Raw genomic sequence first — 15,372 nt, forward strand, 5'->3', positions numbered from 1 at the left:
TTCCCAGGGTCTGTGTTGAAAGAAGCATTTTGTGGTCAAAGAGGAGATTCCAGAAGTCTGAGCCTTTCATAGCTCAACAGCTCTAAGTGCCAGTGAAGTCCAATCCCCAGTAGACACAGAAGCACCCAGGACCATTGTGGCACCATTTCAGACAGGGAGAGAATCTTCAGGACAGGGGCCCAAATCCCTGGAAACAATGGTGATGGGCAAGGCCCCAGACCTTGCAGGCTATTTTAAGCCAGGAATTAAGAAGCTATGGCTCATACTCCTAGCTTTGCAGTATTCAAATTCAGGCCCCATCACCAGCTGGCTTCAGCAGCTCTGAATGTCCCCAGGGAGAGAGGCCATTTCTAAATTAACCAGGACCCAGATCAGAGACCTCATTCTACTGTGATTGAAATGTTCCAACTAATGAGATTTTTCATAAATTAGTTATTCATCATGGAAGAGGTATTATAGATAAATACCATACCTTATTGCTATTCCAATCTGTCTACCAACCATCTCTTTTAAGAAGAAAAATAGAAGAATTAATGTGGTTCTGAACAGTGATCTGCTTAATGATTTCAAGGTTTTTATCTGGAGAGGATTTCAATAAACTACTTTAAAAGAAGTGGAATGCAAAAAAAATGTGTGAAGGGATTGTATAATTGCTGAAAGGTTGGTTCTCTAGGGCTAGAAATCAACAAAAAGGGTGAATGTTATGGAGAGATTTTTAAGTACTTATTCAGGAGAAACTAAATAGAAAATCAATCAGGAAAATAAAAAATTCATAAATCCAATTGCTTCTAATTGGCTCAGAACATAGTACAGAATTCAAAATGTTTGGCTGTGAACAGCTCAGTCTCTTGAAATTATGACGCTTATCATAGGAGAGTACATTTGGGTTACATTTTTTTTTTAATCAAAGAAAACTCATCAAGGCCAGAGCAATCCTACAAATGGATTGCTCAAGCTGAAAAACTCTTCATCTTGACTATTTATGGAGAAATTTCTACTAAAGATTTACTCAAACCAGGGGAGAACATATTTTCATTTCAAGTCTTTAAACATTGATTAAGCCCCTATCATGTACATAGCACTAGGCTGGGCCCTGTGGAAGGCACACAAACTAATGAGCTATGATTCCTGAGATTTCACAATTTAGAAGGGAAAATGAATGGGCAAGTGCCTAATTAGCCTTAGGTAGGACGAGAACAAATGCAATCAGCCTTAATAATAGACATATCACCATATAACATGAGAAGAGAGAGGGGGCACAGACTATTTCTGACTAAGGGGATCTGAGACGTTTTCTTGGAGGAGGTAAAATCTATTTCAAGGGGTAAGAAGATATTCCACATGGAGAAAAGACTTTGAGCAAATGTTCAGTGGAAACGTGAACTAGGCTTAGGGAATTCAGAATATTTTATAATAACTTAAAATAGTTGGTACAAGGTGAAATCCTGAAGAATGTGACATTTATATTTAGCACTGTAATCTCTGCCTCTCCATCTCCAACTTTTGTGGGCATTTATAATTTGTGTACTGCGTTTATTTCTCTTGTTGGGATGAAAATATCCCAGTAAACATATACACCCTTAAGTGTTACTGACTCAATAGGTCACCCCTCCCAAGTAGTATTTGCTTTTTACAATCAAAAAGGTTTTTGAATGTATTAGTTTAAGGTAAAGAAGATTCAAGATATAAAAGTATTCATAATTTAAACAGTAAGGACAGCTTGAAGAAGCTGCTGGTCCCGTTTTCTTTATTGTAAGCATTTTCAACATTTCGAAGCTTGCCCAGTGTTTGTTTTGGTAATTACAACAGGGGCATGGGAAAAGAACCATGCTATTTTCTTCTTTTTTCTTTTTATTTTTAGTTTAAGTTCTGGTATACATGTGCAGAATGTGCAGGTTTGTTATATAGGTATACATGTGCCATGGTGGTTCGCTGCACCTATCAACCCGTCATCTAGGTTTTAAGCCCCACACACATTAGGTATTTGTCCTAATGCTCTCCCTCTCCTTGCCCCCAACCCCCAACAGGCCCTGGTGTGTGATGTTCGCCTCCCTGTGTCCATGTGTTCTCACTGTTCAACTCCCACTTATGAGTGAGAACATGCGGTGTTTGGTTTCTGTTCCTGTGTTAGCTTGCTGAGAATGATGGCTCCCAGCTTCATCCATGTCCCCACAAAGGACAGGAACTCATTCTTTGTTATGGCTGCATAGTATTCCATGGCATATATGTGCCACATTTTCTTTATCCAGTCTATCACTGATAGGCATTTGGGTTGGTTCCAAGTCTTTGCTATTGTAAATAGTGCTGCAATAAATATATGCGTGTATGAGTCTTTACAGTAGAATGATTTATAATCCTTTGGGTATATACCCAGTAATGGGATTGCTGGGTCAGACGGCATTCCTGAACTATGTTATTTTCTAAGACCTAACCTTTCTCTGGTGGAAGGGTTGCAGTCACCTGTGTAAAGATGATATTTTCAGGCAGGAAGGTTTGCCTAAGAAAACCTCTAGGAGTTACCTTAGTCTTGTGGAAAAAGCACACGTTTTAGAGACAGACAATCCTGGGTTCTAATTCCAGCTCTGCCTCTCAGAGTGTTGAGTCTCGGGCAAGTTGCTTTGCTTCTCAGAGACTAGACCTCCACGTGTGCAAACTGGAAGTGGTCACAGATGACCAAGCCCAGAGTGTGGCACAAAATCCTCTCACCTCACAGCAGGACGTGGCAGCTGATTTCATCTCTAAGCAAAGCCACCCCTAGCACAGAGGTAGTAGAAGAGATTTTCCAGAAGTGCTCAGGGCCACAGGCATCCCCCAGAGCAGTTGCAGGTTGAGGCCAGGAGCACTTTCTGCTGCTTGAGTGCAAAAGAGTTCCCATACTCTTCTCCCACTGCCCTTGCTGGCCCCCACACTCCCTCTTCCTAGCCTGTTTCTCCTAGCTGAACTGCTCATTTTTCAGATCTCCAGGGATAATTATTTCTTCCAGGGGAACTTCTCTCATCCTGCAGAAATGGGTTCGGTCTTATCTCTTCTTACTCCCATGGCAACTTCTAATTTACTAACATTCAATGTCTGTGTTCCTAGCTAGATTGTAAGATTCACAAGAGTAAGTACCAACTCAATATGGTTTACTGCCTGGCCTGTGGTAGACAGCCTTAAATATCCTTGAGTGAATTAATAAAGGAAGACAGAAATGAAGAAAGACAGAGAGAGAAAGAGTAAAGGAGGGAAGGAGGGAAGAGGAAAGGAAGGAGGAAGGACCGTGTTAAAATTCATTCCGTCATAACCAAATAGACCATCCAGAGAACTGAAGGGTGGTGTGTTCAGAGTGATGTGGCAGCCGCCAAGGAACAATCAGAAGTCATTCCGATTAGTATGCTATGATCTTTCTGAAAGAACAAAAAGGCAGCACCGGGGCCCACTCATTCTTATATATGTCAGCTTTGCTTTCAGCGCTCTTCTTGCTAAGGTTTAAATGCCAACATCATGACCCTGAGGCCCTAGGAACTCCATACAATAAAGTCCCACGAACTGACACTCTTCTACTGTTCAAGAGTGAGCCTCAAAATATCGTTCACCTGCTTTGCAAATCGACCTTCTTTTACTAATTAGGGTAGATGAATATTTTAAAATAGTCTTTCAGGAAAATATAGCAGAGTATTCCATCAGAGAACATTCTGCTTCCGTTTGCAATTCAAAATATTTGATGGGATCTGGGAATACAGAATTTGGATTGTTCTTTTCATTCTTATCTTGACTTCAGATAAGAAGTTCTCGCAAGGGGGAGAGTGAGGTTAGAGAAAGGTGAGGATGAGGTGATAGGAGATTAGCAATGGGATTTAGCATTCAATTCAATGCAAGGAACATCTATTAAGTGCTTACTGGGTTGAGTGGATTAAAATAATTCCAAGTGTCAGGCACAGTGTTAATAATAAAAATGTTTTACCCAATTATGGTGCCAGGTAATAAATGATCTCATTTAATCCTATCAGCTCTGTAGTTGGTATGGCACTACTGTTATCCCAACTTCCAGATGAGAAACCAGACACAGAGATTAATTTCAAAAGTGCAGAAAAAGCCCACAAAACTCCAGAACAACCTAACAAACAAAAAACACCATTTCCAGGGACTCTTACTTATTAAATGGTGAGGCTGAGAATCCAATGTGGGCATCCGATCCAGCCTGTGTCCTTGGCCACTGCGGGGAGCGGCAGGGCAGATGGAAGGGGAGGGCAAAGGAATATGGATGTGAAAGGAAAGACAGACAGAGAAGGGAGAAGGAGTGAGCAAGGCTAGAGAGAAACACGTTGTCTAGTGCTGCAGTCTGATGGTTTAGCACCCTTTAAAACTTTGTTCTTTAAATATTTATCCAACATTTGTTTAAATGAGAGGCTGAACTCTGCCTGGGAAAAGGGCAGAAGACAAGCTGCGCTCATTTGTGCCACTGTTCTAATTTAGCTCCGACCTCAAACATCATGGCCAACTCAGCAAAACAGAAGGTCTATGGGAAATAGGATCTACCACCTCTAAGTTGGCCCTCTTAACCTACCTCGTGCCTCACTCCAGCCACCATCTATTGTTCCTCCAGCATACCCCTTGAGGGTCTCATCCCCTCACCCATCCCCAAGTGTCTTAAGCTTTCCAAAAACATGCAGTAATCTCTGAGAGGAGATATTTCTCTACTAACAATTTGATGCCAGGTTACATTTGGTGTTTCTCAGAGAAGCTGCTCCAATGGAATGGCTCCAAGCCTGCTCTTGACCTACTTCTGAGATGAGGACGGGGAATTGCAGAGGGTCAAGTTCAAAATCACACAGGGCATTGGTAGCCATTGAAGGATTTAAATGGAAGTGATCTGGAGACAGTTCACAGAATCCTGCATGGGGCATGACTGGTAGGTCTGGAGACCTGAGGGCAAGAGAAATGGAAAGAACAATATTAGTATCTCCCAATCTCAAGTCTGCATAGTGCCTGACTCCTTTTTTAAAATAGTAATCATTTTTGTCGTTGTGGTCACCACCATCATCATAATTTTCAGGGCTCAGTACAAAATGAAAATGCAGGCCCCCTAAGAATTTCAAGCCAGCGACAGTAAGTGGGGGCATTGCTCAGCCCAGGTCACATGCCCATGAAGCCAGTCCTTCTGGGAGTCATATTTTCTCTGTCCTAGAATTTTCTTTCTTTCTTTTTTTTGAGACTGAGTCTCTGTCACCCAGGCTGGAGGGTGATGGCGCGATCTCACCTTACTACAAACTCTGGCTCCGGGTTCAAGTGATTCTCCTGCCTCAGCCTCCTGAGTAGCTGGGATTACAGGCATGTACAACCATGCCCAGCTAATTTTTGTATTTTTAGTAGAGACGGGGTTTCACCATGTTGGCCAGGCTGGTCTCGAACTCCTGACCTCAAGTGATCCACCCACCTTGGCCTCCCAAAGTGCTGGGATTATAGGCGTGAGCCACCGCACCCGGCCAGAATTTTCTATAGTAACTCAGCCACTCCCTGTTTCAATTTCTTGTTTCACTGTTTGTCGACTTTACTCTGCTTTTTTCTGCTTTATAGTTTCTGCTCACTGCCTTCTTTCTGTATGTCACCTGGCCTCTGGCCTTGCTACTGACTGATGATTGTCTCCAAGTATCTCATTTTCAGACTCCATATAAAAGAGGGTCTGATACATTGAAATAGATACTCTAATCTAGTGGAGATCATTTTTCTTGGTAAGAGCTCTAGCAATACTTAATCTCAAGGTCATCACAGACTGACCTTGACTAAGGTGTCCACTCTTGGCCAGACTGGCACGGCACCTGAGAAGATGGAGGTCCCAGGTAGGGCAGGCGCAATTGTAGGAGTCTCTTCTCCAGTGAAAAATATAGGAGTGAGTCCTCTTCCAGGCTCTAGAGCTATAAAGAACAAGAAGAAACTTGGGGGCTGGGTGTGGTGGCTCAGGCCTGTAATCCTAAAACTGAGTACCTATTTTGAAGGTTTCTTGTTTCCTTTTCCTTCTGCAGCTCTTTGTATTAACCTTTTAGTAATGCAAATGTAATCTCTACCCTCCTTTCTTTCCACCAGGTACTCCCCTGCAAGGACTGCTAGCTTACCTAATTATACGTTTGCTTAGAAGTTCCAGGGACTGAATCTTAAGACAAATGAGGTACATTCAAAATTATCCCCCACCAGGAGACTGCCTCAAGACAATGATTAATTTACAACCTGGTCATGCCCACAATGGTGCCAGCCAGACCACCAGATGGCCTATTGCTCAAGATAAGTCCTCAGAGCAAGTCTTCTAGGTGCCACACCTCCATGCCCCTCCTGCATGCCCTGTGTACCAAAATTTCCCTTCTTAAGACCCTGCTTTCTGCCCAGAAATCTGAAATGGTTCCTTTAGAGGTGAGTCTGGTCACCTCCCCACTGCTAAGCTCTGGAATAAAGTAACTTTCTTTTTATTGAATCTCATCCTTGCCATTTGCTTGCAAAGCTGCAAGTGGTGAGCAGCCAAGCCTGCCCTTCAGAACAATCCTAGCGCTTTGGGAGGCTGAGGAGGGAGGACCACTTGAGGCCAGGAGTTCAACAGTATTGCTCACTAGACAACAGACAACAGATAACAGAGTGAGACCCCGTCTCTACAAAATATAGAAAAAAAAAAAAAAGAATTAGCTGGGCATGGTGGCTCATACCTGTAGTTCTAGCTACTCGGGAGGCTGAGGGGGGAGGATCACTTGAGTCTGGGAGTAAGAGGCTGCAGTGAGCTATGATCGCACCACTGCACTCCACAAGCCTGGGTGACAGAGAGAGACCCAGTCAAAAAAAAAAAAAAAAAAAAGGAAGGAAGGAAGGAAAAGAAAAAGAAAAGAAACATTACAGTCTTTCTTCCTGCACTCACAGGGCTTATACCCTTATTGGGGAGAAGGGACATAACCTAAATCTTGCTAGGAGGCATCAGGCAGGACTGAAATGAGAAATAAGAAATGCCGCTTTCTGGTTATCCTCGGCCATGAGGCCATCCCCTCTCTTCCTGTGATGGATTAGGAAGTCAGACAGCCCGTGCCGCCGCATTCCTGCCCCACCACTTGATTGTGCTGTGTCTTGGGCATGTTCTTTCACTTTCCTGTGCCTTAGTATTCTCATTTTTGCAATATAAAATTAGGATATTAAGAGTACAGTCCTGATCTCACAGAGTTTTGTGAGGTTAAATGAGATAATCAGTTCCTAACTCAGTAAGTGATTAGACCTAGTGTTTTCTACCATAAGCCATTCTCTCTTCCTCTATTCCTTTCTCCCGCTCCTCTTGAATGGGCATATCTTACCTTTTTCCAACCAGAAGGTCGATGCTCCTTCCTGTTCCTGGGATTCTGCTTAGGGTATTTCTACCACCTAGAATATCCTCCCTTCTCTCAGCCCCCTGTTTAAGCATGATCTGTCTTCGCAGCTCAATTTAAGTCCCAAGACTTTCATGAGAGTTTCCTTGATTGTTTCAACCCACATACAGAGACTCACGGAGCAGGACGGGGTATTGAAAGCACTGAGATATCAGGGCATAGCTCCCCCTTTATAGCTCAGGAAATGGAGGCTGACAGCCTCACCTCTCTCTCTCTCCTAATCTCCTGCTTCCATCACTCATCTGTATCACCCATCATGGCATTTAATCATCCGTTGCCTCGCTTCCTCCTTCTTCCTGTCATAAAAGCTTCTCATCTTAGGCATTAGGCCTCAACTCAAATGACTCTCAACTAAGTCTCCCTCTCCCCAGAATAGATCAATATTACCAGTTATTCTTTCTCATCACTACCTATTTTTCCCCTCAGCAGACTTCATTAAAGGTGATTTAGGAATTACTGCTGTAATTAGTTGCCTAAGCTTTTGTTGTTGTTGTTTAAAAAATCAAACATTTACCAGATGCCTAGGTGCCCACTATGTGTGTGGCAGTGTGCCAACTGTGGGGATTTGATGGTGAACTGGACAGATCTGGTCCCTGCATTAACGGATTTTACATATAGCTATGAAATTAAGAAGTGAGAATGAGCTCATAAACCTTTTGGGAACCCTCATGGACTAGAAGGAGCTTTTAAAAAAAAAAAAAGGCCAGGCACGGTGGCTCACACCTGTAATCCCAGCACTTTGGGGGGCTGAGGCAGGTGGATCACGAGGTCAGGAGATCAAGACCATCCTGGCTAACACGGTGAAACCCCATCTCTACTAAAAATACAAAAAATTAGCCAGGCGTGGTGGTGGGCGCCTGTAGTCCCAGCTACTCGGGAGGCTGAGGCAGGGGAATGGCATGAACCCAGGAGGTGGAGCTTGCAGTGACCAGAGATTGCGCCACTGCACTCCAGCCTGGGTGGCAGAGCTAGACTCCATCTCAAAAAAAAAAAAAAAAAAAAAGATAGTACTGGGAATTTCCTCCACACTAAATTGAAGCAAAGAAGTAAAGTAGTGAAGTGATTTCTACAGTCAAACATAAGCTGATAGAAATATCAAGTGTTCCATGTAGCATAATAAAGAAAATGAAATACCATCTTCCTTAGTCTAGGGTCCTCTTTCAAAGGGCAAGAGTCAACATTTGTTTTAGTCTTACTTGTCTACACTGATGTAACACTTTGTTTTTTCCAGTTATTTTTTTCACAAGAAACAACCTACGTCTTCATTATGAAGGTGGCGTGACCGCTGAACACCCAAGCAGTTGTCTTCCTTTGTTAACTAATCTGAGTGCAAACAAAGCCCTTCATTTGAAGGTCAAGAGTTTCTTTTGCCCTTTATTTAAAGGAACCAACTTCTTGTGAAATGGCACTAAATTATAAGCACCCGGTCCACTTAGTGTGAGACTAGTAATTTTATAGGCTCCAAATTGTCCACTTATGGGGACCTCCACCTTCTGCTAGCCTGTTTGAAAATACCCTCCTTAGAGATTACAATGCATCCTTCAAATGTTATGAGGTTCCAATTGCCTAAAGGGCATTTCTGCTTAGCAATCTCCACAGGCAATTCAATAACATTTTTCAAATAAAGTATGATCTTGTTACTCTCTTTTTATTCTTAATATCTGTTAATGAAACCTCCCAACTAGCAATCCGAGATGCACTCTTGACTCCTTATTCAAATACAAAATCCTGCTGTTTTTACCTGAACATCTCTCACCTCCCAGCCCCTAAACCTCCCAGCCCCTTCCTTTCATCACTCTTTCCCTTCCTGCCGTCCCTCCTTCCCCTGCCCTGGCCGAGACTGTATTATTTCCATTATCCTTGAAAGTACTTGAACTGTGGCTTCCTAATTTTTCTCAAGCCTTCACTCCTGTCTCTCCAATCTCACACTCCCATTGCACCCGAATGATCTGTTCGCAATTCCTGTCTTGTCACTTCTCTCTTTAAACCCCTTCAGTGGTTCCAATCATCACCCAGCAGTTTTTCTCAAGGGAATGGAGCTCTTTTATAATTTGGGGAGGGACACGAACATCTTGCTTATGCTGGACTGTCCATCACACTGAAAGACAGTAAGCTTCCCTGGCTGCAAGGCCACTAAATGCCGACACACAAATTTCCAAAGATGCCCTATGCCGCCTCAGCTGATAATAATCTCTAAGGGAAAAGTACGTACTTCCGAATATAGCTTGCAAAGCCCTCCAACACCTGGCCCTTATCTCAACTTCCAGCCTTCCTCACTGTTGCCTCACACTGATTCTCGTGAATAGTGGACTGCTGTGCTGTTCTCCCTGCCTGATGCCTCGTCCAGCCTCCTCCCCTAGATGATGTCTTCTCATTCTTCAAGACTCAGTTCTTGGTCTCCTTGAACAGGCTCCCTTTCCTTGTCTCCATGACTGCCGTTCCTCCCCCTACCTGATCACCAATTAGACAAGTGTGTCTCCCAGCTCATGCTACTTCTAAATGCTTCTAAAGGTTCATGTTAACTAAACTCATAAGGCATTAATAAATATAAATCTGCATCGCTGTTTGTTAATTTTCATGAGAATGAACATGAGAAACACCCCTCATGTCAAGTGACAATGCCGTTTATGCCTGATAGGTCCATGGGTATTTCTGAGGAAAGTGTGGCAGAGACAGATGCATCTTTCAGGCATGGCATCAAGGAGGCACTTGTTGTCTGTATTAGCTTCCTAGGGCTTCCATAACAAATTAAAACAACTATAATGTATTCTGTACAGTTCCAGAGGCCAGAAGTTTGAAATCAGTGTTCAGCAGGGCTGCGTTTCCTTTAAAGGCTCTAAGGGAGCATCCTTCCTTGCCTCTCCCAGCTTCGGTGGCTCCAGGCGTTCCTTGGTTTGTGGCTCTACAAATCCGATCTCTGTCTCCATATGACCTTCTTGCCTTCTCTGGGTCTTTTTTTCTTCTGTTTCTTATAAAGACATGTGTCACTGGATTTAGGGCCCACCCTGATGATGATCTCAACTCCAGATCCTTAATTATATCTGAAAGGACTTTTTTTCCAAATAAGGTCACCACCACAAGTTCTGGGGGTTAGGAGGTGTATCTATCTTTTTTGGGGGGCACTATCCAATCCACTACAATCTCCAACTCCAAGACATTTGTGGGATCCTCTTCATAGCAGAGCTCTGTTAGACCAGGTGACCTGAATATTGGCTTGAATGTTGGGATGGGTCACTGAGAATTAGGCTACCTTGTCACCTGGCAATGATTGGCAATACCTGTGGCCAAGCTCTTTGTCTTTTACTTTAATTTCCCTATACTGGCACAGCTCACTTTCTCTCTGAGTATCCTTCAATGTTAATTTATGGAGAGTCTTTTAAGCCTCTCACTGAATGAGATGTTGAGGTTGCTACAGAGGAAGCCTAATGGATTTCCTCATCTTCCTGGGGCCAATCTCCCTCATAAGAAAGATGATGATTACTTGTTATAATGAATGGTAAAGAAAAGTGGTGGCTTCAGAAAGGGAGCATGGTTAGGCTCTGTCAGGCTCAATTTCCTGAGCTGTAAAGGGAGGCCGCACCCTGAGGTCTACATGTTTTCAACACTGGGTACTTCTCTGCAAGTCTCTCTGTGTGAATTGAAACAATCAAGAAAAATTTTGTGAAAGCCTTGGGTCTTAAGCTGAGCCATAGAGTTAGATCAGGCTTCAACAGGGAAGAAAGACAAGGAAAGACAGTCCATCCAGCCTGAACAAACACATGGGGGCAGGAGTGGGAGGGGTACCTAGAGGAAAGGAATAGAATTCATCTGCTCTAGAGGAGGAGGCAGAACTAGTTTGGGAACAGAGGAGCAGGGTTAGGGTATGAAACAGTAGGAGATAAGGATGGAAAAAACCACAGATGCGCAGGGCTTAGAGGCCAGTCTGCTGCAAATGTGGAGTCATAGAGCCGTTGAAAGAGTTTCCAAATAGGAGGAGAAATAGGAGTTGAGGTTATTAAAGTGGTATTTGTTTCTTCAAAAAAATATTTAAGGCACAAAGAAAAGGTGACACCAGGAATGAGAAGCCAACTCAAGATACTGTGACAGTTGCCCAGGTGTATGACAGGGTGGGACTTGGAGTAAGGTAGTGATAAGGTTAGAAACCTATATGACTTGTTGGTTTATTAATTGGTCTCTTTAAAGAGAGAGAAATCTCAACTCGTGTGTTAGGAGGCTGAGGGACACCTAGAAATCGGGACATTTGGGAGTTGAGATTGAATGTGTTGAGTTGTGGTAATGTCAGGACATTCAAATAGAAATGTCCAGCTGTTTGTTAGAGATGGATCATTGCTACCCTGTCACTGCCACAGCAGTGTCCTGTCACAGTCTGTCCTGATGGGCTGTCTCTCCATTTCTCCTGGGAAGACAGCCTCCTGTTAACTCCACGAAGGCATTCTCTGTCTTATCTTCAATGTGACCTTTCCCTCAATTTATAATAGTGGCTCCTGAATCTTTTGTTGTGTTAGGATCCATTCTCCACTCTCTAGTCATTGAAAAAGAGGTAAAAGGGGAGGTCAGGGCAGCGTCCATTTATCTATTTGTTCAGCAGATATTTATTGAGTACTTACTTTGTCCCAGATACTATGATAATCATTGGGCATCTAAGAGTCAGTAAAACCAACTTGGCCCCCTTCAAGATGGGGCAGATAGATGGCAAACGAGGGTGAAAAGTGCAAGAAAGGAAAGTGCAGGATACTTAGAGCATAAAACAAGGAAGCCAAATAACTCTGTCGGGGGGGCTCTTCACTCTGCAGGTGCCTGCAAAGGAAGCAGAATTTAAGTGGAGCCCTGTGGAGTTATTCAGGGCAGGGCTGCAGGGTGGCACAACTCCAGGGGGCGCCTCTTACATCATATTCTGTCAATGGGCCCCTGGAGATGTGCAAGAAAATGGCCCAGAATGAGGGCTGGGAAATAAGGTGGGGCATGGGGCAGGGTTGGACTTTTTTGGCCAGAGGAGAATCTTGGGGAACTCATTGCAGCTCAGGTCTTACAGAGACCTCTAAGCTAATCAGAGTTGATACCAACTCATGCTAACTAAACTCATAAGGCATTAATAAATATAAATCTGCATAGCTGTTTGTGAATTTTCATGAGAAATTAGAGTATATCTGTCATGCAGACCAGAGATTGACAGCTTTGAGGTGCTGACTCATACTAACTAAACTCCCAACACATGAATATATGCAAGCCAGCATGCTGGCTTGTTAATTTTCTATGAGAAACAGAGTCTATCTGTCAAGTAGACCAGAGATTGACAGCCCATCCCCTCCTGTGTGAGGGGCTCCCTGGGAAGCCCAATTATCCCAGGGTTTCGTTGCGAGCCTGAAATCAGAGGAAAGAGCAGTTATTACACCACCTGAAGATTTACAGACCTCAGGTTCTGTGTCTGATGTATTCGCCGCCTGCTGGGGACAGGCTCAGGGGGCTTGTCGGGGAAAGGGGCAATGTGGGGTCTCTGCCCATGGGAACCTCTTTGTGCCTCTCTGTGCCAAAGCTCATTCACTCTCCTGATTCTCATACTCTTGAGACAGAGTAGGAACAAGGCTTGGCTTTGTTACTGGTGGTGAATCTGACTGCTCTGCAGCAAACTCGATCCTTGCCTCCTCAGAGGAAAGAATTTGGCCAAGGGGCAGAAGTAGGTTTAAGGCAGAGGGAGAGACTGAGGCAAGTTTTATAGTAGGAGTGCAAGTTTATTAAAGAGTTTGAGGGCAGGAACCAAAGGAAGTAAAGTACACTTGGAAGAGGGCCAAGTGGGTAACTTGAGGGGTCCAAGTTCCATGTTTGGCCCTGACTTGGGGTTTCATACATTGACATGGTTCCAGGGTTTTCATTTCTCCTCCCTTGATTTTTCCCTTGGGTTGGGCTGTCTGCCTATGCAGAGGCCTGTCAGCACTTGGGAGGTGCCGCACCTGCAGTGTGTTTACTGACATGCCCACTCGAAGTGTTTTTTCCCTTAGCAGCTGAGCATTCCTAGAGGAAGATCATAGACCAGTTAAATTCTGCCATTGTGCCTCTTAGTGCACATGCTTGAGCCCACTTGACCAACTTGTGAGATCTTAGCAGGAAGCTGCTGATTGTGAGCATCAGGTATTTTCTATCGGGAGACTGTCTTTTCCTGGCACCAACTGCCTGACCATCACCTGGTGATCACCTGACATTCCTTGGGGTGGGGGCCTCTCCTGCCCTGCTCATGTCTGCCTACCTACCTAGTCTAACAGCTTCAGGTCATTTCCACTAGAGCATTCTTTCATGCATTCCCACTGATCACAAGCCCTACACCATTACCTCACTGACATCATTAGGTTTAACCCTGCCTTTTACTTAAAGATGTCTAGGACTGGCCTTAGGAAATCCAGATATACAAACCAAGGTTGTGTAATGTTTCACCTCAGAAAGGAATGCTGAACAACTTATTTACAGCCTTGTTGCTACTGGTCAGACCATTGGGAGGCCCATTACTCAAGATAACCTCTGAAACCAAATATGCTGACCTGTATACCCTACCCCTCAGTGCTTTGCCCTTCCAAGTACAGCCTGCATACTCTATTCCTGATGTCAATTCCTGTGTTTTGCCTAATAAAAAAGCCCAATCATCTTGGAGAGCCAAAGAATTTTCTCTCCTGTGCTGCCACCCTTATGTCCAGACACAAACTCCAATGAAGTCTTGTCTGAGAAAACTCTTTTGGCTTCATGTCAATTAGTGCACTGAGAGCCCAAAAACCCTCAGTAACACTCTTCTTTTCAATGTGTGAATGCTAACTGGAGCCTGGGATTAGCCTATTGACCACACAACTTTATAAAATCAATGTTTGTGTTGATTTTAAGAATTTAAAATTAACAGGGGCAACTCATTGTTCAGGTTCTTGGTGGCACCTTCCTGCTGTCCTCAGTCCTACCCAGACTTACAAGCTAATTTGGTATCATGGATTGTCAGTAACAGCTTTATGGTTTTAGGGAATGCTGAATGCAAATCTGCCTGTAACCAGGTAAAACACAGGGTAGCTTTGGCCATTGTGTAAGTCATTTTGCTAGGATTAGAACTCACACCTACAGACTTCCTGCCCCACTCTGCTGGTGCTGTGAAGGCCTGACTAAACACTACCCTACTACTGTGGGGGCAGGTGCCTAGGCTCTGGCCTGATCTTCACTGTTCCCTCCTCAATCTGGATACTCAGTGTGGTCGCAGAATAACAGCCCCCTAAAGACCTCCACATCTTAATATGAACCTTACATGGCAAAAGGATCTTGCAGATGTCATTAGATTAATCATGTCTTGAGATGGGGAGATGATTGTGGATTATTTGGACCCAATGTAATCTCAAGCATCCTTATAAGGGAAAGAAGGAGTTAGAAGAATGAAAGAATGATATGTGAGGGTGGATATAGAGGTCAGAGGTTTGAAGATGCTATTCTGCTGGCTCTGAAGATGGAAGAAGGGGCCGTGAGCCAAGGAACGTGGCAGCCTCTAGAAGCTGGAAAAGGCAAGGATATAGATTTTCCTCTAGGGCCTCCAGAAGAGACACAGCCCTTCTGATGTCTTGATTTTAGGACTTCTGACATACAGAACTGCCAGATAATGAATTTGCATTGTTTTTACCCCCCTCTCAACAATCGGAAACAGATACAGTTGGCTTCTCCTGTCTTCAGGACTTACCTAGCAATGTTCACCTTGCTCTTGAGAGCCCCGTACCTCCATACACATGACAGTCTGTTGGTGGGAGACAAGTCACCAGAGTTTGTGCAGGGTGGAGAGTCATATTTCTCACAAGCTGTGCAGTGTTAAATGCCCCAGCTCATTGCTCCTCATGCATAAGTGGTGATTCCATGCCCTGGGCCAAAAATACAGTTCCGTTGTCACCGCCTGTGTCCGACACAGCTCTCCTGGGGTGCTGATGAAGATGTAGCCTTCCTTTGAAGCTAGTCATTCAGATCAGCTCTACAGGGGCCATTTGCAAGATGA

The 15,372-nt window shown here is 44.0% G+C and overlaps 1 long non-coding RNA gene across 1 annotated transcript; it reads right to left on the reverse strand.

The window, feature by feature from the left end:
• Positions 1–1,730: 1,730 nt before the first annotated feature.
• On the reverse strand, positions 1,731–6,817 carry LOC124906266 (uncharacterized). Its single transcript, XR_007095996.1, has 2 exons — positions 5,758–6,817; positions 1,731–4,905 (listed from the first exon to the last, which is right to left on the reverse strand). It is a non-coding gene; the product is annotated as an uncharacterized LOC124906266 (long non-coding RNA).
• Between the last annotated feature and the right edge of the window lie 8,555 nt (positions 6,818–15,372).

Source organism: Homo sapiens, chromosome 3, assembly GCF_000001405.40.
Source record: "Homo sapiens chromosome 3, GRCh38.p14 Primary Assembly".
Lineage (NCBI taxonomy): Eukaryota > Metazoa > Chordata > Mammalia > Primates > Hominidae > Homo > Homo sapiens.